We start from the raw sequence: 25,897 nt of genomic DNA on the forward strand, positions 1-25,897 counted from the left end.
TCCTCATCTGTTTGTCATCCAGATAGGTTCCTTGGCAAGTGAACCTCTCCACAGGCAACTCTCAACATGGCAGCTTATTTCTTCAAAGTCACCAAAAGAGAATGATGAAAGACAGCTATCACAATCTTACGTAATGAAATCATGGACACGCAATTACACACCTTTGCTGTATTCTGTTAGTAGAAGCAAATTCCAGATCATTTCCACTCTCAAGGGGAGAGGATTACTCAAAGGTGTGAAAAGTAAGAGGTGAGGATTATGGGGGGAAGCCTTGGAATATGTCCACCACAGGTTTTTAGAAAGCTAGTGGCAATTAATTGGCAACAGCTACCTACAATGTCAAGTCGGCAAAGATTCTGAACCTCAGCTCAGCTCATTCATTCAACATCTGTTTTTTTTAAACATGCACTATTTCTTCAATAAATGAGAAGAATATAGTAGAGAACAAGACAGATACAGACCTAACCATCACAGAGTTTCCATTCTCGTAAGTGGGGACAAAAATAAATTGCAACATCAGAGAGTTCATGAGGAGTTACAGAGAAACATCATCCCTTAGAGTTGAAGAGATTTTGAAATCTACTCACTCCGTGCCCTCATTACAGAGGCTGTGGTGATATGAGTGGGAAGGCCAACAAAGGCTGCAGCAATTTCACCAGCTCCACTGCTACCAGTTATGAGCTTTGTGAACTTAGGTGAATTCATTCACTACTCTGAGCCTTAGTTTTTACAGCTGTAAAATGGGGAGAAGATTGGAATAAGTGGTATCAATGGTTCTTTCTAGTTTTAATCTTTCATGGGTAAATTTTACATAAAACAGGAACCAATCTGTTAAATGATTTTGGTTTAAGGTTTTTAAGTAAATTTTTGTAAATTCTTATTATGTTCCTATTAGATTCAAAACATTAAATGATCATCCTCAACAACTTACATCAAAAGCAAGTGTTTTCCTTACAGTTCCTCTCAGGGGAGTCCAATTTACCATCTTCAGTTAATACCAAGAAAGTTATTGATTTATCAGGGTACATTTCTATTCATTGTTATTTATAGAGTTCTCCTCTTACAGTTGATAATTATGAGATCTCCTAATTTTGCCAATCTCTTGCTCTTTTGCAAACTCAAACCAATAACTCAGTGACAAAAGTCTGCCATGGGGAAGGAGGGCTGAGTCTCATGTGGTGTTTACCATTTTTCTTGTACATGCTTCAACTTTCAGACCCTAACAAGACTAATTGAGCAGAAGAAATACAAACACCAAATCCATGCAGAAAACTTAGCTGAGAAATTTACTCTTGCAAATGTCCATCTACACTACCTGAACTAGTGTAGACAGAACTCATCTCGCATTACCACCATCGCAAAAGTAAACCACATCAAGGTATAAAATATTCGCACCCCATCAATGTGATCAGGATCTTATGCTAACCTTCTTGTCCTCAACTGTAGTCATTTAGCAGAGATCTTGCTTTAACTTTTTTATCTATGTCCTGCCATAATTTGATCCCCTATGTGAGCTTATACTAACAACTGTACTAATGTAAGCCTGATGATCCACTAATTTTGCAGACAAGAGTTGATAAGGAATCATTTCAAAGAGGCATGTCTGTTCACCTTCTCTTAGAAAATATTGACAAATAGCAATAGTGTTCAAATCAGAAAACATTAGGTCCCCTGGCTATTTAAAAAATATCAGATAAGAACCTCCTCAACTCCTCAGCCCAATTGGAGTGTGATGCATTTTTTAAACTTTTTATTTTTTTTAATTCTTCAGTACTTTTTTAATGGAAAAAAATTATTCATGTTTAGAATATTAGTCTGTTTGGTTAATTGAGTCTAAAAATAAACACTGTTCCATTTGCCTACATGTTCTGAAAAACAGGTCTTTTATCGCTTCTTTAGATGAGATTATTCTTCTTGCCTTTTCCTTTGTTTTCATTTAAACATTTGTTAGCTTTTCAGCCTTGCAACTCAACAGGGATGCAAAATTTTAAAACATGTTATGTCAGGCCAGTACTAAAATCTAAATAAGTTTTAGGTAATGTAGTAACATAAAACTCAGTAGTCCATTACTTATGAAATAAGCATAAAATATATTCTAAAAATGTCACATTCTCATATACAAAAATCTTTTTAATATACTGTAGCTACAGATATTTTTTCATAATCATTCATTTATTTAATAAACTTTAATTGAGTTTCCTCTGTACTAGATCCCAGGTTTGGTGTTGGAGATAAGACTGTCTCTATTCCTGCCTTCAAGAAGTTTACAATCCAGTGTGATTGTTTCCAACACACACACATTTTCAAATGTACATTTCCCATTACCCAACACATGTGTCTCCAAAATTCATGTTAAAACTCATTTTGATAAAGTTAGTCAGTTTGCTTATGCCATTTAAGTAATCCTATGACATGGTTGATTCTTTCGTAATACAAACAATTTTTCTAATTTGGCATTTCAATTTTTGTATCTTGGGTTTATCAAAGCTATATGTAATTTATTCAGTTAGTCATACAGTTATGATATATTGGAAAGTACACTTAACTTGGAAGGAAAAAACTTTGTTTAAGTACAGGTTAAGACCTTAGGCAATTCACTGACAGCCTCAGTTTTCTCATCTGTAAAATAAGGGTAGTATCTCACAGGCTTGATGGGAAGAGGAGATGTAAAATGGTATGTGTGATAACCAGTCTGTACTAGGGACCCCAGTGATCCCTGCCTCCTGTCATCCATGTCGTTGTAAACTTTCCCCTCACACTGAATCAGCATTGGTCTATGTGACCCATAGGATATGATGGTGTGTGACTTCCAAGAAGAATCACGGGAGGCATTGCAGTACCACCATGTTCAGTTACATCACTCATTCTAGGTGAAGCCAGACACCATGTCATCAAGAACTCCAGCAGTCCTGTGAAGGGGCTCGTGTGGAAAGAAATTGAGGCCCCCCAACAACAGTCATGGGAGTGCATCATCTTGGAAGTGGATCCTCCAGCCTCCACCAAGCCTTCAGATGACTGCAGTCCCCACTAACATCTGACTCTAACCTCATGGAAGACCCTGAACCAGAGTACACAGACATTTTAAGAGTTAATAAGTCACTGGCTTTTGAAGTAATTTATTATGCTGCAATAGATAACTAATACAGAATGAGGGGCTTTTTACATTTTATTTATTTATTTATTTATTCAGGCGGGGATCTCACTCTGTCACCCAGGCTGGACTGCAGTGGCACAATCTCAGCTCACTGCAACCTCTGCCTCCCCAGCTCAAACCACTCTCCCACTTCAGCCTAGGGAATGTGAAAGTTCTGTGTAAATAACAAGTAGAAAAGTAAGTTGAAAGGAGTATCCTCTTTCAATCATTTATTAAACAATTATCCACAAACAGACCTCTTCATGCCCAGTTCAATGCTGAGCCTATAGTCACAGTGGTGAGCAAAACACAGACCTTGCCCTTATAGAGATTACAATGTAGCCAGGAAAAGAGGCAACTAAACAAATCATTAAAATAATGTGTGAAAATTGCCATGGTCAAGGGAATGCAGTATACATTTGGATCCTATATCAAGGGCAACTAACCTATTTGAAGAGGTCAAGGAAGGTGCTCTGGAGAAAAGAAATTTTGAAGCTAAGAGATTGCTGAGATGACCAGAGGTTAAAATAGACAAAGAGTTGCCTTTCTTCTTTAGTCAGCAAATTTGTAGTAAATGAGTTTGGCATTGAAAAATTCAGAATTGCCATACCAACTTCCATTCATTCTTTCAGCCAAAATTTATTGACAGCCTACTATGTGCCAGAAACTGTTCTAGTCTCTAGAGAGTCATTAGTAAATAAGGTAGACTAAAATTCCTGCCCTCGTCATTGGTGTTGAATGAAGTAAGAAACTATCCCTAGAGAGGAAGTCAAGTAATAATAATTAGGAGTATAGGCCTGGTGCAGTGGCTCACGCCTGTAATCCCAGCACTTTGGGAAGCCAAGGCGGGAAGATCACGAGGTCGGGAGATTGAGACCATCCTGGCTAGCACGATGAAACCCCATCTCTACTAAAAATAAAAAAAATTAGCCAGGCATGGTGGTGGGCCCCTGTAGTCCCAGCTACTTGGGAGGCTGAGGCAGGAGAATGGCGTGAACCTGGGAGGCGGAGCTTGCAGTGAGCCGAGATCGCACCACTGCACTCCAGCCTGGCAACACAGCAAGACTCCATCTCAAATAATAATAATAATAATAATAATAATAATAATAATAATAATAATAATGATTAGGAATATAAGTTTTGCACTCAGACCACCTGTTCAACTCCATACTCTGCATCTGACTGGCTTTGCGACCTTCGACAACATTTTTCACTGCTCTGTGCCTCAGTTTCCTCAAATGTAATAATAGCGCCTACCTCCTGGGTTGATGCAAGAAACGAAATAAGTTAATGCACATGGAGCCTGTGAACAATGTACAGCATATAGTAAGAGCTCAATAGACTTTAGCTCCTTTTGGCTTCCTTGTGATCATGCTTAAGAAGCTCAGGGCTTCACCATCTTAACTTACTTTCTCCTGTTCCCAGTTGAAGAAAAGGCACAAGGTTAAATTTAAAATACACAAGATCCTCACAAAGTAGGTCATTTCTGTTTCAGCATAAGGTTGACATCCTGAGTAATTTATTGCCTGAATAATTCTGAAACACAGAAATGCAAATGTACGAGAGTTCTAACCATGTTGCAGATGGAACAATGCTTCTTATCCAAGAACTCATTTCATCTGTTAAACAACCTCTAAAACAGGCTCTTTCTATACAATACTGCAACAACCTGTTGAGAAATAAGAAATTTAGTACAGTGCAGTCCCAAAGAAACTGTCTTTATATTTAAACACAATCTTTGAGAATAGTTTTGCAAGGCCAGGCTCAGTGGCTCATGCCTGTAATCCCAGCACTTTGGGAGGCTGAGGCAGATGGAGCACCTGAGGTCAGAAGTTCAAGACCAGCCTAATCAACATGGTGAAACCCCGTCTCCACTAAAAATACAAAAATTAGCCAGGCATGGTGGCATGCACCTGTAGTCCCAGCAACTCCGGAGGCTGAGACAGGAGAATTACTTGAACCCGTGATGTGGAGGTTGCAGTGAGCCGACATTGCACCACTGCACTCCAGCCTGGGTGACAGAGCAAGATTCCAAAAAAAAAAAAGGAAAAAAAAAGAATAGTTTTGCATTTGATAAAATATTTTGAGTGAATAAATAGAGACAAAAAAATAAAGTTGGCTTTGATAACAATAAACTCCAATTTCTTTCTTGTTTCCTTTATCCCATTTGTTTCTCTCCAGCCAGTTTTGAATGGAAAAAGATGGCCAGGAATGGAGGGTTCCTCAAAAATATTTCATCGCCATGTATTTTACTAACAAAGATTTCATGTCTCAGGCCCCAGAGAGTAGCCATAGCTATAGCACTTCAGTAAAAAGCAGACAATCATGAAATCATAGACACTAAAGGTGGAAAAGACCTTCGAGGTCATCCTGTCCACTCTCTTGTCAACTCATTCCTGTTCCCCGCAGCATATTCTCAGGGGCTTTTCAGCAGCCAACTTGTAAATGATTCCAGCACCACCAGCCCTGCCACTGTCCCCCTGGAGAGACTACTCCACTATCTAATAGACCTGTTAGGTAATTTTTTTTCCTTGATATTCAGTCCAATTTTGCCTTCTCTTAGTTTCATCCCATTATTCATCGATGTACCCCATTGGACCAAACTAAGCATCCCTTCTCTTTTAGTAAAGATGCCTTGTCAGATTAATTATGGCATCAGCAGCTTCAGGGAGCCACGTTCACAAGGTCCAGTACTGTAACATTTAGGGAGACAGATCCTGGCACGAATGCCTCATCTAGATATTTACAGAAACAATGCCACTGACTGCAAGATCTTTTCTTCTCTGTCCCTCATTATCTATTTCCACAGCTTGCTCAGGGTTCATGTGTTAAGGGCAGTAGTGTTTGATACTTTCACTTTCCCCTAAAATCCTTTCCTTTCTCTGGCTTCCTTTTTCTGGCTCCAGGATGATGAGAAGGGGGCTCAAGAATGCCCCCCCTTTAGATAGCAGTTTACCAGGCCACAGTCTTTTACATCCCAATAATGGATTCCAATATTCACTCCAGCCTTTAGCCCTGGGACATAACAGCCCTATTCTAACTCTCTAATTGTCTTGGATTTATAAAACTGAAGAGGACTTAGTTTCAACTTGGCTTTATTCATATTTGCAACTTAAGATGCCTGGTTTGTGTGTTGCTTTGGGGCAAGGCAGTTAACCCTATGTGTGTGCATACATGTGCATGTGTGTATCTTTGTAAAATCACTTTGTGGTATATACATTTTGTCATTGTTCCTTAGGCGTAAAAAGTAGTGACTATCAAACATAGTTTTGCCATAGTCTAAAAAAAAGCATTTTATATCACAACTCAATACATCATATTTGTGTGTATATACATATGGATATACAAAATGTATACATATATAGAGAACTAAAATAAAATTTCAAGAAACAATATTTATCCTCACCATGTGTGATGCACTCTATTTCCTATTCTCATCCTTTTCAGTTATTTTTAAATGCTGGCTCAACCCATTAAGGTGATTTTACAACCCAGACCAGCAGTCTGGAAAGCCTATGGAGAGGTCCCACCTTCAACTCTGACCCTAGAAGTGGTTGGTGTTCAGTGCAGCCTCTGCCTTTCCTCCAATCCTCACTGTGACCAGTGGCCAGACTCCCAGGAAGCCTCATCCCACTTGGAAACCAGCAGGCTTAGCCCCCCTGCCACAGGCAGTTTCTGGTTCCCTGACCTCAGCTCCCAGAGCAGAGGAGGACACAGGTTGATATCATTCAGAAGCATGCCCAGCCGAGTCGCCAAGCCAACTTTCTCCCAAGAGGCTCAATGCCCATCAAACACACTGTGGATCAGGAGTGGCACCAGCAGATACAGGTGCAGAGACCAAAAGTCTTTCTGAGATTGTTTTTATAATCAAGCTCTGAGGTGTAAGCTTCATGGAGTGGCCAGATTTGCCCATTTTGTCAAACCCATCAATAGCAGTATCAAGGGACATGAAAAGACACATCTCAAAAAGGGTTTTCAATGACATAATATTATTAGTATAATTACTGCAGTTCTTGGGGTCCCTTTTAAAATATTTTCTTTATCCTCAGGACTTTTCTGTTCCCTTGGTGTTTATTTATATTAACTACATTATATGTGAGACTCAGGGAGGTTATTTAAAAGCTTTAAATATAATACATTTCTCTGAAGCTTTTTTTTTTTTTGCTTTTATAGTTAGTTTCATATTTGGCTCTTCTTAAACAAGTTAAATAATAAATCTTCTCTAAAATGACGATTCCCCTCTCTAAAAAGTAAAAAACATCCCATGCCACTCATACCTGCATGGAGTGGAAGATGCCTATTCCTGTCTTGGACCACCTATCCAAGGATAACCCTGAGTGCCGGAACCAGAGCTCCCACAACATTGGTATACAAATCAACCTCCCTTCATGGACATCTGGTTTACAGAGGCCTGCATTACATGGCAGCTTCAACCAAGTCACAGGGATCTGATTAGTGCCATTTTGCAGCTGAAGCATCCAAGGCTCAGGGAGATGGAGCAATGGGACCAAAGAACCTAAGAAAGAACTAGAATTTAACTCAGTGCTTCTGAATCCAATGCCTACTCTCCTTTGTCTCCAAAAAGAGTGCCTCCTATGAATGCTCATGGGTTTCTGTGTTAAAAAAAAAAAAAAGCAATTTTTTTACCTAATAAAAAATCTATTACTTAAACATTTTTTTTCATGAAGACATACTTGAAAAATAAAAATTGAAGTCAAGGTTGAAATATGATTTGGGGCTGGGCATGGTGGCTCACGCCTGTAATTCCAGCACTTTGGGAGGCCAAGGCAGGTGGATCACAAGAGGTCAGGAGTTTGAGATCAGCCAGGCCAACATGGTGAAACCCCATCTCTGCTAAAAATACAAAAATTAGCCGGGTGTGGTGGTGGGTGCCTGTAATCCCAGCTACTCAGGAGGGTGAGGCATGAGAATCACTTGAACCCGGGAGGCGGAGGTTGCAGTGAGCTGAGATCGTGCAACTGCACTCCAGCCTGGGGGATGAAGTGAGACTCTGTCTTCAAATATATATATATATATATACACACACACACACACACACACACACACACACACACATATATAAAATATATCTAATAAATCATATATATTTTATATCTAATAAATCATATATATTATATACATACGATTTGATGAACACAGTTTCATTTTAACCCCCAAATATATGTAGTAATATATATATACACATATACACATATATAGAAAGACTATCATACATTTTGTGAAGGCAAAATAGAATACTAGAGAGGAGGCATGACTCACCCTTTTAAAAATAGCAAAAAAAGATTATTTTTCAAAAAATAAATAAGGAAATGGCTATATTTTTTAAATGGACTATGAAAAAGCAAGCTTACTGTACATTCAAAAATGTATTTGATTTTATCTTTAAAGACTTTCTATACCATTTAAGAAACATCTATTAGATTAAGTGTGGTTAACCAGTATCTTAGCTCTACCAAACTGCACAAGAAAGCAACCAGAAGTTTTATCCATATTTAAAATTGGGCTATCTGAACTGGCCTCAGCACTGGTAACAATGATTAGGATGAACACATTTCTGTAACCCTCTAAGTTTATGATTAAAGCCAGAGCCCCTGTATTGACTCTGGGAGGCTCACCCTCCTGGCATGTAGTAAGCGGCACTCCCTCTGGACATAAGGTGGTACTCACTGGCTCCCTGCCTTTCCAAAGCAGTCTTTTTTTTTTTTTTTTTTTTTTGACACCATCTCGCTCTGTAGTCCAAGCTGCAGTGCAGTGAACACGACCACGATTAACCGAAGCCTCCACCTCCCAGGCTCAATCAGTCCTCCCACTTCGGCCTCATGACTATAGGTGCACACCACCACACCCAGCTAATTTTTGTATTTTTCCGTAGAGACGGAGTTTCACCATGTTTTCCAGGTTGGTCTCAAACTCCTGAGCTCCAGCGATCCACCCACCTCAGCCTCCCAAAGTGCTGGGACTACAGGCGTGAGCCACCAAAAGCAGTCCTCAACCTTGTTTTGGTTTCACACTTGTGAGAGCCGCATAAGAGAAACCTCTGTCCAACTTTCACCTTTCTACTAAAGCCAACATGCACATGTGTTTATACACTCAAAAGGCCTCATCAGTCATTTCTGCTTCAATGGAAACCCAGATGAGGAGACAAACTAGGAATACAGAATGAAGAGGAAAATGAGTGGCCAAGGAAATCTTCAATGGAATGTGTCTTTCAGACATTTCACATACGTTCAGAAGAAGCTGCACTCCAGCACAGTCCAGGCATTCTCCAGCCAAAGATATTGACTTGAGATTTATATGATACAGTGCCTCTGATCATTTAAAAATAATTCTGACCTCCATCCCTGAATCTTTTAAGCCTTAAGATATATGTGGGTAATAAAAAATGTAAATGGATTGAGAGTTTGGTTCTCGTGAAATAAGATGGTTAGCTTCAAGTTAACTTGTCTAGACATGTGAATAAAGTGTTTTGCAACTGGAGGGCCCACTAGGGTCAAGATAGGTTTTTCTGGGCCTGTCCTGTGGCTGCATAATTTTCCATGAGCTCAACTCACCTCACGGAACAACTCTAAAAATACGAAAGAAATAATTAAAACTCAACATATGGGAATGCCTGTGGTCTCTGCTTCATTTTCTGCCTCCTTTCTTTTTGTATCACAGCTTTCCGGAGGTGGTATGCAGGGAGTGTTTGGTTATCTGAATCCTCCCAACCTGCAAAGACTGGATCCCAGACCATCTTTCTGCTTCAGCTCACTGAGGCTGTATTGGTCTAAATCAATAGGAATGGTATCACCCTAGGAATCCACAGGTGCAATTTAGGGCAGCGTAATACTGGGAAGGGCACTGCAGGCATGAGTGGACGGGACCAGCAATCAGGACTCCTGAGGGCAGACCATGCCATTGGTACACACGTCCTTAGGCTCCAGAGGGGTGGCCAAGAGGCAGTGTTAGCAGGGGATGTGGACAAAGTGGGGATATGTGGATTAGGATATTCACCCCATACACGAGTCCCTCGCAGTGTAGGTCAGCACTGGAGAATGAGAACAGAGGCCTATGCCACCCAGGACCTCTACACAAGAACTGGGACCATGGACCGCCTAGATCCCACTCCACCCCAGGAGAATCTGAGAGTCCGTGGAAAAGAACTAGGAGGAAAACATCTTGGAAGTCGACAGAAATAAGTAATTAATAGCCACGACCTTGGGCTTTACAATGTGTGAACTTGTGTGAAATAGAAAGGAGGATGAAGATAGAGATAATAGACTCCGGGAAAACTATGTATAGCTGAGAACTAACAAAGTAAAAAAAGAAAAAATGAAAATACCGGGTTGCTTCATACCAATCATAGTCATTTATATGAACTGTTTACCATTTGTACTTACATACATCACAATCATGATTTTATATATATATAATATGCATATGTATATAAGATGTAAAAATTGCAGTTTCAACAGAGATACCAAAATACCATAGATGTGAAAATCCAAAATGTGGACTGGACCATTCCAAGGAAATGAACTGTAACTAGTTTCACAACCCTTGAGCCCCTTACTCACTTGGAGAATATAAAAGAACAGAAAGAGAGAAAAAAAATCTGTCAGAAAAAATTTCCTCTAGAAGAAAACATGGACTGCCCACCCCCAACTCAAACCTTGACATTGAGGCAGGACAGGGGATACTTCAATAAGCTGGTATTGAGACCTTGGGGTTTGGAAACAGAGTGGATGCCACCCAAATCTAGAATCCAGGAGCCTGACCAAGGAGCTGCTTTTGCAGAGGAGGGTAACACGCAGGTTAAAGAGCTCACCACATTTCCTACAGAGACTGGTGGCTGCCTTAAAAGAGTGCACTTCAGAGCCTGAATGCCTAGGTCTGAAACTCTGACACTTAACAGCTGTCGGTATTGAGAAAGTTGTTTAGCCTCTCTGGGACTCAGTTTCCTCATATGTAAAACAGAGATAATAAAAGTACCTACCTCATAAAATCGTTGTGAGAATTAAATGGGCCAATATATGTAAAATGGTACCTGGCACAAGGTCAGTGCCATGTCACTGCATGTTATTAACCAGATGGAGACTCCCCCCAGGAGGCTGAGCCACCTAGAGCCATTTTAAGTCCCAGAGGACTGGGGTCCTTTGTGGACTGGATCCCCGGAGAACAGCGACCTCCAGGGAGCAGTCTCCCAAAGGAAAAGCATCATGCACATCAGGGCCGTTCAAGCCACAGGATCTGGAACCTCTGGAGCCCGCATGGAAGTGCCCACAAAAGAAAGAAGCAGAAGAAACAGCAGCCAGGATCAAAGGATCCAACCCTGACTTACAACAGTGTCCTTCACTCCAGGACTTTTCATGCCCTGTTCCCTCCTACTTCCCCATTGAGGGGTCAATTACTGCAGTCAGCCAGAGGGCAGAGAAAGTGACCCCAAAAGAGGGAAATGAGTCCAGGAATCTTCCCAACCCCCACCCCACCTTAAGCATGCAACCCACAAGGGGCCTCACTCCATACGGAGCTATGTGACCTTATATTATATTGGGACTCTAGATTATTACATAAGACTGGGCGTTCTAAGGACAGTGGGAGAATGTATGAGTCAGGATTCTCCAAAGAAACAGAGCCAACAGGAGTATGTATGTGTATATATAGAGAGAAAGAGGGAAGGAGAGGGAGATTTTAAGGAATTGGCTCACATGATTGTGGAGGCTAACAAGTCCAAAATCTGCAGGGCAGGACAGCAGGCTGGAGACCCAGGGAAGAGTTGACATTGCAGCTTAAGGCTGAAAGCAGACTGCTGGCAGTGTCTCCTCTTCCTCAGAGGAAATCGGTCTTTTTTCCATTAAGGCCATCAATTGACTGGCTGAGGCCCACCCACATTGTGAAAGGTAATCTGCTTTACTCAGTCTACCGATTTAAGTGTTAATCTAAATACCTTCAAAGAAACATCTAATGTTTGACCAAATAACCAGATAGCATGACCTAGCCAAGTTGACACATAAAATTAACCAGCACTTAGAAAAATATGCTTCATGTTAACATTGATCACATCCCACAAACAGGTATGTTTCATGTACCCCTTCTACACACACACACACGTACGCACACACACACACACACAATTTGTTGTGTGCTTTATATTAAAATAGTGAAGGACATGGATATGGACTTTGTTTTTTTGTTATTAATGGTATAACAAATGCTGGAGTGGGGTGGGGTGGGATCTAGGCAGTCTGTGGTCCCAGTCCTCGTGTAGAGGTCCTGGGTGGCATAGGCCTCTGTTCTCATTCTCCAGTGCTGACCCACACTGCAGGGGACTCGTGTACGGGGTGAATATCCTAATCCACATATCTCCACTTTGTCCACATCCCCTGCTAACACTGCCTCTCGGCCACCCCTCTGGAGCCTAAGGATGTGTGTACCAATGGCATGGTCTGCCCTCAGGAGATAAAGGGTCTTGGAAACAGGCTTGTGGCTTTTCAGGCAGGAAATCTGGGATCCTGGGGAGCTGTGGGGAAGGACAAGCCAGTGGAGCGACAGATCTGCCCCGAAGCGTGTGTCCCAGCGTTGGGACCTCTTGTTCTGTCTGAAGGCAGTCCTGATTGCTGGTCCCGCCCACTCATGCCTGCAGTGCCCTTCCCAGTATTGTGCTGCCCTAAATTGCACCTGTGGATTCCTAGGGTGATACCATTCCTATTGATTTAGACTAATACAGCCTCAGTGAGCTGAAGCAGAAAGATAGTCTGGGATCCAGTCTTTGCGGGTTGGGAGGATTCAGATAACCAAATACTCCCTGCATTTCTCTATTCCTCACTCAATTAAAATGAACATTGCCTGTCTTCCAAAGAGATCGTGAGTTATACATGGAAAAGTACAAAGCTGTCTTCTGTATCTTTGCACTTCTAGCCTGGGGGACAAGGAGTATTGGTCTATGTTCAACGTGGACTTGCTTCCTGATTAGGCCTCCTTTTTGTAAAAGGAATGTCAAGTCTCCATCTAAATCATGTGACTGGATTTTTAGAGAATCAAGTTGACAAATGTAGCCCCCTAAGTAGAGAATTCCTCCTCTGCCTTTACTTGGAGGTAAAGTCAGCAGTGTGGGGGAAAAAAAAAGCCAACAAGGAAAGCAAAGGCATACCCCATGTTAGCTGTTGAAGGTTTTCTCAACCACAGTTATGGCAGCTTTACTTACAAACATCTGTTGGGCACCTACAATTTGATAATGGCTATCCCCTTTTAAAAGTTTTCATCCTTTTTCTAAGCAATGCACAGATGTACTTCATTCCCTGGGACAAGATGTACTTGTCTCCCTGGCCGAGGCCACGCTGAGAGTTCTAGACCAGAAGTGACATCATCTGGCTTCCAGCTTCAGCTGCACCACTATCTTATTTTGTGACGTCAAGTTAGTCACTAATCTTCCTGGCCCCTTTTTGCTTCCTCTCCTATTATAGGATGGCAATTATAATGGCTTGATTACTCACGGACTTGTTATAAGGATTAGTGAGATAGTATATTTGAGAGCACTTTTTAAAGAATAAAAGTAAATACAAATATAAGGTGTTCTGGAGATTTTTCCTACTGGCCTTCTTTTAGGAGAAGCTGACAGAACCAACTGGTAATAATATAAGATAATAGCCTCATTAGGGTGGCTTTCTATCTGCTTGATACCCCACCAGGGCTCCTCAAAGGGAAGATGCCAGCAAGGCTGGCCTTACGACTTTCTACTCCCAAAGAGTTCTTCCCTCGGCCTATTATTTATATCTGATATTCAATCACTAGAGGGTCATTCCTTTGAGCTAAACTGTTCCCTCAAAAAGCAGCTCAGTAAGTTATTAGGTTATTTAGAGCCTTCTCTGTTTTAATGTGTATTGGTTTATTAGGCCCAGTCTAACAAAACAGCTAGAAGAAAAGATGTAGTTGGAAGGTAGGAAAGAGGGATCAGGAGGGATCAGTGAAAAACTTTCTTTTACAGATTGGGAAACTGAGGCTTAAAAGAATGAAGGTAATTGTTCACTATCACACAGCAAATTAGGGAAAGAACTGCAGCAGTCTTTAAGCTGTGTGTCTTCTCTACTGTTTGAACTCCACGCTGACAATTTCTCTGTACCAAATGGATTAGAAAAAATACTTTGTTATTAGAAATCTACTCAACTAATGGGCTCTATTTAGAACCTCACCAAATTCTAGGTGCACAGTAAATAATCAGTAAATACTTTTTAATTGTTAAAAAGCTTTATTATAGGGCATTGGAGTTATTTCTCCAACTGCTTTCAACTTTACAATCACATTTTTATCTGCATAGCTTATAGGGTGGTTATTATCTAGCCCAAGAACAGGAAACTAAGGTTCTGAAAGGTTTCATACCCATCCACAGTAGGCAGGGAGCCTGGCTAGAACTTTGGTGTCCTAACTTGCTGCCTGGTGTTCTTCCATGGCCTGGAATCAGCACCACTGCGGGAGCCAAAAGAGTGAATGTGGGTGCTGCGGCAGCAGATGGCTCCTTGCTGCCTTGGGAGGTGACTTTGTGTCCTCAGGAAGCTTTCTCCACCCTCATGGTGATGGCAGACAGGCAGGCACCGCTTTCATGAGTTCAGTTTATAGTGGGGAAATACTGGGCTTGCCAACATGCCCTGTGCTCCCACACAGGGCAAAAGAAGTGGCCCAGCCTTTGCCTTCAGGGTTCCCAGGTTGCCACCCTCAGAGATTCAGTTCTAGCTGCCATGCATCATAATTTTTCCCTGGGTCATCTAAAAGTCCTTCAGGCAAAATTAATGCCTTTTCTTTTTGCAGTGCACACACACACTTTTTACACAGTTTTGAAGTTATTTACATATGACTATTTTCTCCCACTTGACTTTTAGACAACAGTGTCAGAACTTTCTGCTGTGTTTTTATCTTTGTATCTCCAGTGCCCAGCTTGAGTAACATGGAGGTTTGACAAATATTTGTTTACATGAAATTAGGGTGGCCACGATGCCCCCTGGCAGGGGTAAAACATTAAATCATGAACTCTTCAGTCTCAATGAGCTTGTCTTGGGTCTTTAATGAAGACAGGTGCCCTGGGACAGCAGGTGCCCTGGGACAGCAGGAGCCTCAGTCTCTTGAACGTATGGGGGAAAGAAGGAGGAGGTAGCTGAGAAGGAGGCCCAGAATAGACAAGGAAGTCTTGATTCCAGAATCCCAGGTCCCAGAACTCTCTTCATTTTATTGCAGGTCCTTTCAGTTCCACCTGAGGAGCAAACTTGCTCAAATATCTGTGATTCGGGACAGGAAAGCTGCAAATGCTGATACCAACTAAGCCCGTGTGGATTGTTAAGACAGTGACTCTCGGGCATTTCTACACCTCCACAGGCCTCCTCTTCCACTCCCAGAAATTTACATATGACTATTTACATAGGACTATCCTTCTTTCCTCCATACATTCAAGAGACTGGGGCTCCAGGCTGAGCACGGTGGCCATGCCCGTAATCCCAGAACTTTGGGCAGCTGATGCAGGCAGATCACCAGAGGTCAGGAGTTCGAGACCAGCCTGACCAACATGGAGAAACCCCATCTCTAATAAAAATATAAAATTAACCGGGTGTGGTGGTGCGTGCCTGTAATCCCAGCTACTCAGGAGGCTGCATCAGGAGAATCGCTTGAACCCGGGAAGCGGAGGTTGCGGTGAGTCGAGATCGCACCATTGCACTCCAGCCTGGGCAAAAAGAGAGAAACTCCATCTGAAAAAAAAAAAAGACTGGTGCTCCTGCTATCCCTGAGCACTTGTCCTCCCAGAAATGTGGGCTCAAGGAGTAGATCTGGTTGTCATTGTTCAAAGAAGAGAACTCAGACAGAAACAACTGGTGCTGCCTAGGTGGGCCATTATCATCTTTTCCAGGAATGACTGGGAGTTCTTGTTTCCCTCACCCCCAGGTAGATTTCCCAAAAGTTCGGGCGTGTGCCTGTAGTAGGATGAAGCGGAATGTCCAGATATGGATGCAGGGCCATAGGGGAGTCTGATGGGGTTGCTCAGTACTGCGGGGAAAGATAGAGGAAGAAATCCCCCTGTGCAACAAGAGGAAATAAAATCAAGTTCTGAATAAATCAAAATCGTCTAGATTTTGTTTCATAGACATAGGCAACATTCCTTTAGACTGGGGAATATAGAGTTACTGTTCTTATCTCTATAGCGCATTGTGGCATTTTCAGATTCTATTTGTTGTTGATTTTTAGGCAGTCCAGTGCTAATTATATGCCCAACACTGCTCATGGGTTAATCTATTAAGATTTTTCATCAGGTCTATGGGCTAGATATTATTGTGCCCAATTCACATGTATGGACATTGAGAGAGATGAATTCGCTTCTCTAAGATCACACAGCCAGTAACCAGCAAAACAAAGTGATTCATATTCAGGCCTTGTTGATTCCAAAGCTCTGGCATCTTTCCATATCCCAGGCCATTTCTTTATCCTACCATCCCCCTGCCCTGCTTCAGTGAGGCTTTTCTGGGGACCAAGAAGGTGCAGAACATTGTGTTAGTTCATGTGGAAGTAATGAAAGAAGTAGAAGCCCTGCCTCTCTATCCTCTACAGTGTCATCGACAATGAATAAAGTACCCAGCAAAAGCTGATGACTAAGAGGTATACCTCCCTTTGTGTGATCTAAGATGTGATAAGTCAAATGCATCGGTCCTACTCAAGATGAAGCTGAGAAGCCCTCATCATGCCACCCAGAAGAACTTGGAGATTACTCAGTTTACACAGCATTACCACTCATGGCTAACATTTTGCTTTTGACCATTTATTCTTGCATAATTTTTAAACCCAGGAATTAGGAGAATTTGTTGGGAAATCAAGGTATGCAGTAGTAAATTTAAGCAAAGTCCATTTCTTCTCCATATGTTATTATTCTTAGAATCTTATCATGAAGTTTTAAAAACATAAAACTCACGCATTGAAAGAAATGTATTTAAGAGAAGGAATCTATACTAAGAATAAATCTGGAAATGTAATGAAACCTGAATCATGGCATAAAGTCAGGCATTTTAAATCCAAAATATATGCTTGACTATTTTGCCATGGAGTCCAGACCTCCAAAGTCCAAATGCTTTACACTGGGCTAGAAGAGCCTTTACAGTCTGGTTGCAACTTAACCTCCCACCCTCAGTTCCTCTCTTTTCCTAAAACACAGCCACGGGCTGCATCATCTCATGCTCTTCCAGAACTTTATGCCTTTGAGCACACTGCTCTTTTTGCCTGAGTTGCCTCTTCACCGTCTAGTGATTCATCCTTCTAATCCTTCTAAACCTTCTGTTACCTCCTCTTTAACTTTTTCTTCTGTCCTTGCAGGAAATATTCTTACTCCACTTCTCATAACGCTATAACCAAAGTAGCCAAGAACTCTGAGCAGTGCCCAGACTGAGTCCACTGCTGAGAATAAGATCTGTTTGGGGATGTCCAATGAGTGGGTGGAACCTCCTGGGTTAGAACTTCTAAGAGAAAAGGGACTCATGCAAAACAGTCTTCTTCATAGGAGAAAGAATCACAGAGCGGGGTGAGATATCCCCATCCAGGCCCTGATGAACTTATGTCTGCTTCCCAGGGAGCGAGATCGCTGTGAGTAAAACCCAATAGTTCTATTTCTCCTTAAACCTCTGTAAGATGTTGGGGAACAACTACCTTGGGTTTCGCCATCTATGCACATTGTATGCACACAAGAAGGCTGCAGTTGAAGCAGAAGTTGTGGCTAAAGGAGGCAGGGAAGAAAAGGATGTCTGCAGAAGGATAGTGCCCAGCAGCAGGGGCAGCAGAGCCCAGAGGGGGAAGCCCACCCAGTGGCCAGGACAGAACCATGAGAAGAAGAGGAATAAGGAGTGGTTGCCATATTAGCTGACTGGCCTCGGATGTGAGCACATAGAAGACAACTGGGTGCCACAGGAATGCCAGGAAGGGGCATTCCAGGAAGCTAGGTAGGAACAGAAAACAGTGACTGACATACAGGTTACATCACTACAGCACTTATAGACTTGTTTTGGTGTTGAATGAGTGTCCATCTCCCATCCTGCCCCTTCTAGCCAGAAAAAATCCACAGGGAGTGACCCTGCCTTTAGTCTATTATATCCCTCTCCCCACAAGGAAACTTGCACTACATCTGGAACATGGTGCCTTGTGGTCAAGACATCAATGAATGAATGATTGGATGGATGGATGGATGGATGGATGGATGGATGGATGGATGGATGGTTAGGGACACTGGTAGGGACATTGCTCATTTCAGGAAAAGCAAACAACATAAACAAGAGCATGGCAATGGAAATAAGCAAGCGTGAGGAGGACATAGGGAGAAAACACCAGCCTGACTCTCAAGTTACAGGTGAATATTAGGGAGTGGTGAGAAATTAGATAGACAGTAGAGAGGGAAGGTAGGGCCTTGTGATGAGGAGCCTTAAAAGCCAAAGAGGTTAGACTCAGGGCAACAGGGAACTCAGAGTCTTTGTGAGCCAAAGAGTGTATATGTGTGTGTGTGTGTGTGTGTGTGTGTGTGTGTGTGTGTGTGTGTATCTGTATACCAACCAACTTGTCAGCAATGGGGAAAAAAAATTGAACTTCAGTCAAACCTTTGTTCCTTAGGATCTATATGATGTTAAATGACAAGTTGAAATTGGTTCTCTCATCCAGTTAATTTGCTCAGTTGGTTTTCAGGTTTGGTTCCAGTTGGTTTTCAGTTGCTTTTAGGTTTGGTTTCAGGGAATATTTTGAGGGCTGAGTACAGGTACTTTTTTGTTGACTTGTTTAATTGTAGACACAATGTGCATGTTAAGCCTGCTTTCCAGGTGAGAACACTGAATATCAGATAAATGAAAGGAGCTTTTAATAAAGCTTGACAACAAATAGACCCCCATATACTTGGTCTGTTTGTTGGACGAAGAGTTTTTACCAAGTCTGTTCCTTTCTATGGGTGTTTGAGAGAATAGCCTGCCTCTAACTGCACCATCTCTGCAGCCCTCAGAGCCTTTGATAACTGAACTGCGCTGCTTCTGGCTCCACTCTCTGCGCAAGCACCCAGATACTGAAACCACCAGCTTGATCTTCAGACATTCCAGAACTACCACACTTTCACAGAATGTGCTTTAAGCCCCAAAGAATCCTCTGCCACCTGCTTTATTCTATTCTTTCTTTGCTTGTGAGCAAAGCCCAGTGGAGCTGAAGAAGAAAGAAGAGGGAGGGAGGAGAGGAGAAAGACAACTTTGTTTCATTTTTTAGTGAGGCAGCCCACTTTCCTTAGTTTCCCTACCTTCAGTGTAGGGGGCAGATATAATTATGTTTATTGGGGAATTTTACTTCTAAATTCCTTTAAAACCCCTGCAAATCAGTGGGTGTCTTAGTGCACACCTGTAGTCCCAGCTACTCAGGAGGCTGAGGCAGGACGATTGCTTGAGCTCAGTAGGTCGAGGCTGCAGTGAGCCATGATTGAGCCACCACACTCCAGCCTCAGTGACAGAGTGAGAACCTATCTTTAGGAAAAAAAAAAAATCAATTAAAATGGAAGAAAAAAGAGAAAAAGTCAAAGTAGGAAGGAAAAGAAAAAGAAAAAAGTAGTGGGAAAAGAAAAAAGAAAGAAGGGATGAAGGGAAGGAAAGAAACAATCCCATGGTTTTAGGTCTTCTCCTTGCCCCTATACAGATCACTCCCAAATAATTTCATGACCACTCAGCACATCTGCCCCACCTGCTCCACACACCCTTTAAGTTGGCTTAGAATTTTACTAAGTTTTCAGCTAATAAAATTATCCTTATTCATAGGACGTGCTCTCCAGGTACGGCATGAGTGGCCCAACCTTCACTTCTTTGGGAATTTGCACATTGTTGGTAGGTGTGCCTTTATAGGCTGATTATATTTTATAGATGATTCCTTTTTCAAAAACAGATGTCTCCAATGTCTTATCTCCAAGACAAAGTGCCAAAGGCCTGGTCTTCATAAGCCACTGAATAGGAGCCAGTGAGAACATGTACAATGAAAAAAGGCAGTATGCACCTCTATGTGGGTCCTGGACAAAACTTTTAAGGTGCTTTAATTATTGTCATAATGACTCAATGGTCAGATTTCTAAAGGTAGGAAAATAAAGATTTTTAGATACTTTTATGGTCATGTGTTATTTATTACACTATGAGAAGTCGTCTTTTTATCTAGGTGTCTGTACCTGATTATAGTTATGATAAAAATAATATGTCGTATTTTTATAGGCCTCAAATTCCAAAGGCCCTTGAGCACCTCATATCATCATCATCATCATTATTGTTACTCATAGCTAATTATACACTGACAGTCTCAGCATGCAAGTAAGAACACTTGTCTATTATCTGACTCATTTGCAATGGTAAGGTCAATGGTTCAAATCCTGGGAAGGATGCTGATGAGCAAAGGTGGTTGCTGCCTCACAGGTGCTCCATGTCAACAGGACTGGAGGCTGTAGTCTCTGAGGTATGGCTGCAGTGTCAAAGTTGCTGTCATAGCTCAGGTCTGGGAATGAGCCATCACCTGAATTGGCCTGGGCTGGCTGATGATCACATGGTTAGGATTTTCTGAGGCTTTCTCAGTTTCAAATACATTTCTCTTTTAACAGCATATTAGTTTGCTAAGGCTTCCATAACAAAAAAAAAAACACACAGTCCAGGTGGCTGAAATAACAGAAATGTATTTCTTCAGAGGTCTGGAGGCTAGAAGTCCAAGATCAAGGGATCAGCAAAGCTGGTTTCTTCTGAGGCCTCTCATTTTGGCTTGTAGATGGCCGTCTTCTCAAGAAGTCCTCCCTCTGTGTAAGTCTGCGTTCTGATCTCCCCTTCTTATAAGGATGCAGGTCATTTGGCCCACCCTAATGACCTCATTTTAACTTAATTACCTCTTTGAAGATCCTGTTTTCAAATACAGTCACATTCTAACGTATTGGGGTTAGAACTTCAACATATAAAATTTAAGGGGGACATAATTCAGTCCATAGCAGACAATATCTCAACTTGAGGTTCAGAAAATATGTATTGTATGATTCATATTGTCCCTTTCACCCAATCTTCAACCAAAATCTGACATTCCAGTTAGGGGCAAGAGATAAAACTCTTCCCCGTGATTTTCCAAGAGATAAAACTCCTCCCCATAGTTCCCACTCAAGGTCAAGCCTAAAGTCATCTCCTCAAAGAGGCCTTCCCTGACTCTGGAAACTAATGTTGTCATGTACCCAACCCCTGTATCACATTACCCGACTTACTTTTTTCATAGCATTTATCACTATCTGAAATTACCCTGTTCCTCAATTTGTTTACTTGTACACAGTTTATCTTTCCCACTAGACTAAATTCCAAAGCAACAGAAGCCTATTCAGGGTTTGTAGCTGGATCCCAGGACCTAGGAAAGAACTCAGCACATAGTAGGGTTCAAAATATGTTTATAAAATAAGGTGCTTGAAAGGGTAGCAAGTAGAAAGATGATTTTCTTAAGTGAATGTAGTCCTCCTGGGGGGAAAGTTAGCAGCCTGTTTCCTAAGAGTTTCACAAAAGGACCTTTGCTCCCTGATGAATGTACCTAGATCCAGTCACAAAGGTTCAGAAACCAGGTTTTGTCATCACTCAAAAGACAAGTCTATCACTCAGAGGAAGATGCACATTATACCAAGCTCACCAGGCTGATGTACTAAAGTGGATGCCATTTTAGTTAATTGCACTGAGCAATATCTGTCCAAGCACTGAATACCTAAAGTGCATGTGACCAGCACATCCTACCCATGTAGGTAGACCTACAGGGGAGGCCAAACACAGTCCCAAGGCTATGCAGTACACACGGACTTTGTGTGGAACGGAGTCTGATTAATTGAACATTTAATTACAACTAGCTAAATGCTCTAATCTCACAGAAGTTCTTGCCAATGGTCCTAGAGGACCCATCTTTCAGTGTTAGAGGCTCCTGGTCAGTGTTCGCAAGGGGTAATGCTGGCTTCAAAGACTTTCCCTGTAGGTTTCTGGGGGCTGGCCAATCACCTCTCTCATTGATGTACTCTTGCTTGAAGTATGTGAATTTAGTCCCTCACAGTCAAGTCTTGGTCTGGGAACTAATCTGTCTGTTAGAAGAGAGTTCCCACATCCCTGCCTTGATTTATTTCAAACACTTCCATCTCAGAGAGCAAGCATTTCTCTCATTCCAAGCCTTAAGTATTAGCAAAATCAGAAATATTGGACTCTATGTAGTTAGCATATATTCATTCAAAAATATGCATTAAGCACTTTTTACGTGTGGGGGGGAATGAAAATACAATGATGAATAAGATAAAGATCTCTCTCCTCAAAGTGCCCACTTTTTAGTGGAAGAAAAGGACAATACACAAGTAAACAAAGGAACAAACAAGAAAGTATCAGGGAATGACGCAGGCTATGATGAAAACTCAGAGAGGGCAATGTGGAAAATGACCTCCCTTCTCAAAAGAAGGGACAATGAAGTTGAAAACAATGACAGGAAGGCACAGCGTGTACAGATCTAGAGGAAGAGCATCTTCAGAAGAGGATACAACAAGTGCAAAGGCCCCTGAGCAGAGCACACATGGGGGGCAACAGGCTCCGAGGAGCAGCAAGCAGCTGGCAGAGGCATTAGCAGGGTATGCGGTGGGGAGCATGACGCATTGGGAGGCTGCAGGCACAAAGAAGCCAGGCCTCCCTAGGCTGGTAGCAAGAGTGCAATGGGAAGCTGTTGAAGAGTTTTGACCAGAGAAGACACATGATCCGATTTACTTTTTAAAATATCACTCTGGGTGCTGTGTGGAGAGTGGATTACAAGAGACAAAGATGAGAGCAGAGAGACCAGTTAGGAGGCCACAGCTGTAGACCAGGAGAGAGATGATGGCAGTGGGGACCAGTGGGAAGCAATGAAGATGAGAAGTGGCCAATTCAGATCTGCTTTGGAGGTAGAGCTGGCAGTTAGGTTTGAGACGCCTATCAGTCAAGTGGAAATGCCAAGTTGGTCATTGTAGAAAAGAATCTAGAGTTAAAGAAAGAGTTTAAAGTTAGAGTTATAAATGTTTAAGTCATCAGCATATATATTGTAGTTAAAGCTGTTTGCCTGGCTGGAATCACCCAAGAAAACAGTATGATTGAGAACAGAAGCAACCCTGGTACATTGTAACATTCCCATCTGTGATGGTTAATTTTAGGTGTCAACTTGACTGGGTTGAGGGATACCCTGATAGCTGGCGAAGTATTATTTCTGGGTATGTCTGTGAGGGTGTTCCCGGAAGAGATTGGCATTTGAATCAGTAGGCTGAGTAAGGAAGATCCACCCTCACCCAATGTGGGCAGGCACCATCCAATCAGTTGAAAGCCCAGATAGAACAAAAAGGCAGAAAAACGGCAATTTTTTTCTCTCTCTGCTGAAGCTGGGACATTCATCTTCTCCTACCCCTGGATATCAGAACTCCAAATTCTCTGGGCTTCAGACTCCAGGACTTGAACCACAGTCCCTCTGCTTCTCAGGCCTTCAGCCTCAGGCTGGAAATTATCAGGCCTTCGGACTTGGACTGAGCTATGCCACAGCTTCCCTGGTTCTCCAGCTTGCAGATGGCAGATCATAGGACTTTTCAGCCTCCATCATCAAATGCACCAATTCCCGTAATAAATCCCCTCTCATATATCTACATGTATATATCCTATTGCCTCTGTTTCTTTGGAGAAACCTGACTAATATACCATCAGAGAAGAAAGAACCAGAAAAGGGTTTCAAGCAGAAGTGGACAAGAGGTGGGAGAAAAACCATGAGAATGAGGTGTTATGAAAGCCAAGAGATGAAGGTGTTCCTAGGAGAGGGCATGGTCAACTAGCATATTTGCAGGAAACTGAGTCAGATGAGGATGGAGAAGCAATATTGAGATCAGTGATGAACTTGAAAAGTGCAGTTTGGGTTTAATAGGTTGGAGCCCAGTTGAGGTGTGCAGAGGAGAAAAGTACAGTAAGGAAGTATAAATAGTCATTATAGACAGAGTTTTCTTAATTTGCTGGAGAATTTGATGGAAGGAGTAGCCTCAAGAGGCAGGTATTGTTTTAAGTGGTTTCAAAAGTATGTTTGTTTGCTAATAAGAATGACCCCATAAACAAGAAGAAATCAATGATGCAGCTCTTAAGGTCAAAGAGATAAGATCTGGAGCACAGGGGAAGGTCAGCCTTTGTGAGGGGCAGGGACTCACTGCCCAAGGGGAGGGAAGATAGAGTATAGCTACAGAAGCAGTTCAGTGGGTCCAGCAGAAGAGGGACATGAGGATTTCTTCTATCTTCTCTGGGAAGTATGAGACCAAGTTGCCAGTGAAAAAGAGGTAGGAAGGAAAGGAGGTGGGGGGGATGACTGAGTAGAGAAGAAAAACATAATAGGATGCTTACACATTGTTGAAGGTGTGTTCGTGATTTTGGCTTGTGAATTTAGAGTTAACCCAGATGGTCCCAAATTAATGATAGACATCTGGTGGCTATGGTGACTCCAGGGAAGGAAAGAGAACAGCGAGCCGGCACAGTTAGTGAACGCTTCACAGAAGAGGCTGTACTGGGGGACTTGATCGATTTGTGTAATTTAGATACACAGGCCATGCCCTCCAGGTAAAAGTACTCGGTAGCACAGAGCAAAGCACAGGAGTGGGGATGAACAAGGTCAGCCAGTCCAGCTGCAGAGGAGTAATGGAGATGGAACAGGCCTTATGCAACAGTGGACACTTCTGAAAAAAGGGCTACTAGCAAAGATAAGGTATCATTTGGGAAGATTAACACAGTATTTGGTATATTGAATGGGTTGGAAAGAGATTTCTGGCCAAGAGAGGTGGCCATAGTTAAGCCCAAGAGACTAAGATTGTATCCTACTCGGGAGGAAGAGGGCACAAATGAGAGACCCCCATCCTTAGGATGACATCTTCAGCCCTTCACTTCATTCTTGGAGATTTTATATTCCTTTGGGAAGTACGAAAATTCGAGAATATTTTTCAGGATCTTGTTACTTTTGAAGTTTCTGAATGACTTCTAATGCCCATCCTTCCTAAAGAAAACAGTCCGTCCACTGAATGTTCAAGGACAAACCCACATGGTCATAGTGGTGGCCATGGTTAATACATTGAGTGCTTAAAATATCACCAGTAATGTGCTAAGTCCTACGCATGCATTATTTCATTCAATCCTCAGAACAACCCTTTGAAGCAGATGTCTTTACTATCCCCATTTTATAACAAGAAAACTGAGCCACACATAAGTGGAGTAAGTTGCCCAAAGTCACACAACTGGTGATAGGAGGGGCCAGGTTCAAACCCAGGCTACAGGCCTGCCCAAAGTCACACAACTGGTGACAGAAGGGGCCAGGTTCAAACCCAGGCTACAGTCGGGGCCATGCAGCCACTGCCCACAAGATCCATAACTAGACAGTGTCCTTGTAAAGGGAAACACCAAGAGACTTTAGCCTCAGGCTCAGCTGAGAAAAACTAGGGCCCAAATCATTTGTGGCCAAAGTGGAATGCAGAGGAAATACATGGAGGAGATCACAGACCCTGGGCTTCTCCTGTGAGGCCAGGTGGACACCTGTCACCTTCAGAGGCCCGAAGAGAAAAGCAGAGAGAAAAATGCCTCACTGTTCCTGATACAGCACCTGCCCCCAAAATAATTCCACAGGAAAGCACCAAATCAAGGAATTACGGTGCTATCCTGACACCCAGCTTTTGAGAAGAGATTATAATTTATCAGTGAGAAATAGAAACAGGATACATAGCCT

This window comes from Homo sapiens, chromosome 2 (genome assembly GCF_000001405.40).
Source record: "Homo sapiens chromosome 2, GRCh38.p14 Primary Assembly".
NCBI classification, from domain to species: domain Eukaryota; kingdom Metazoa; phylum Chordata; class Mammalia; order Primates; family Hominidae; genus Homo; species Homo sapiens.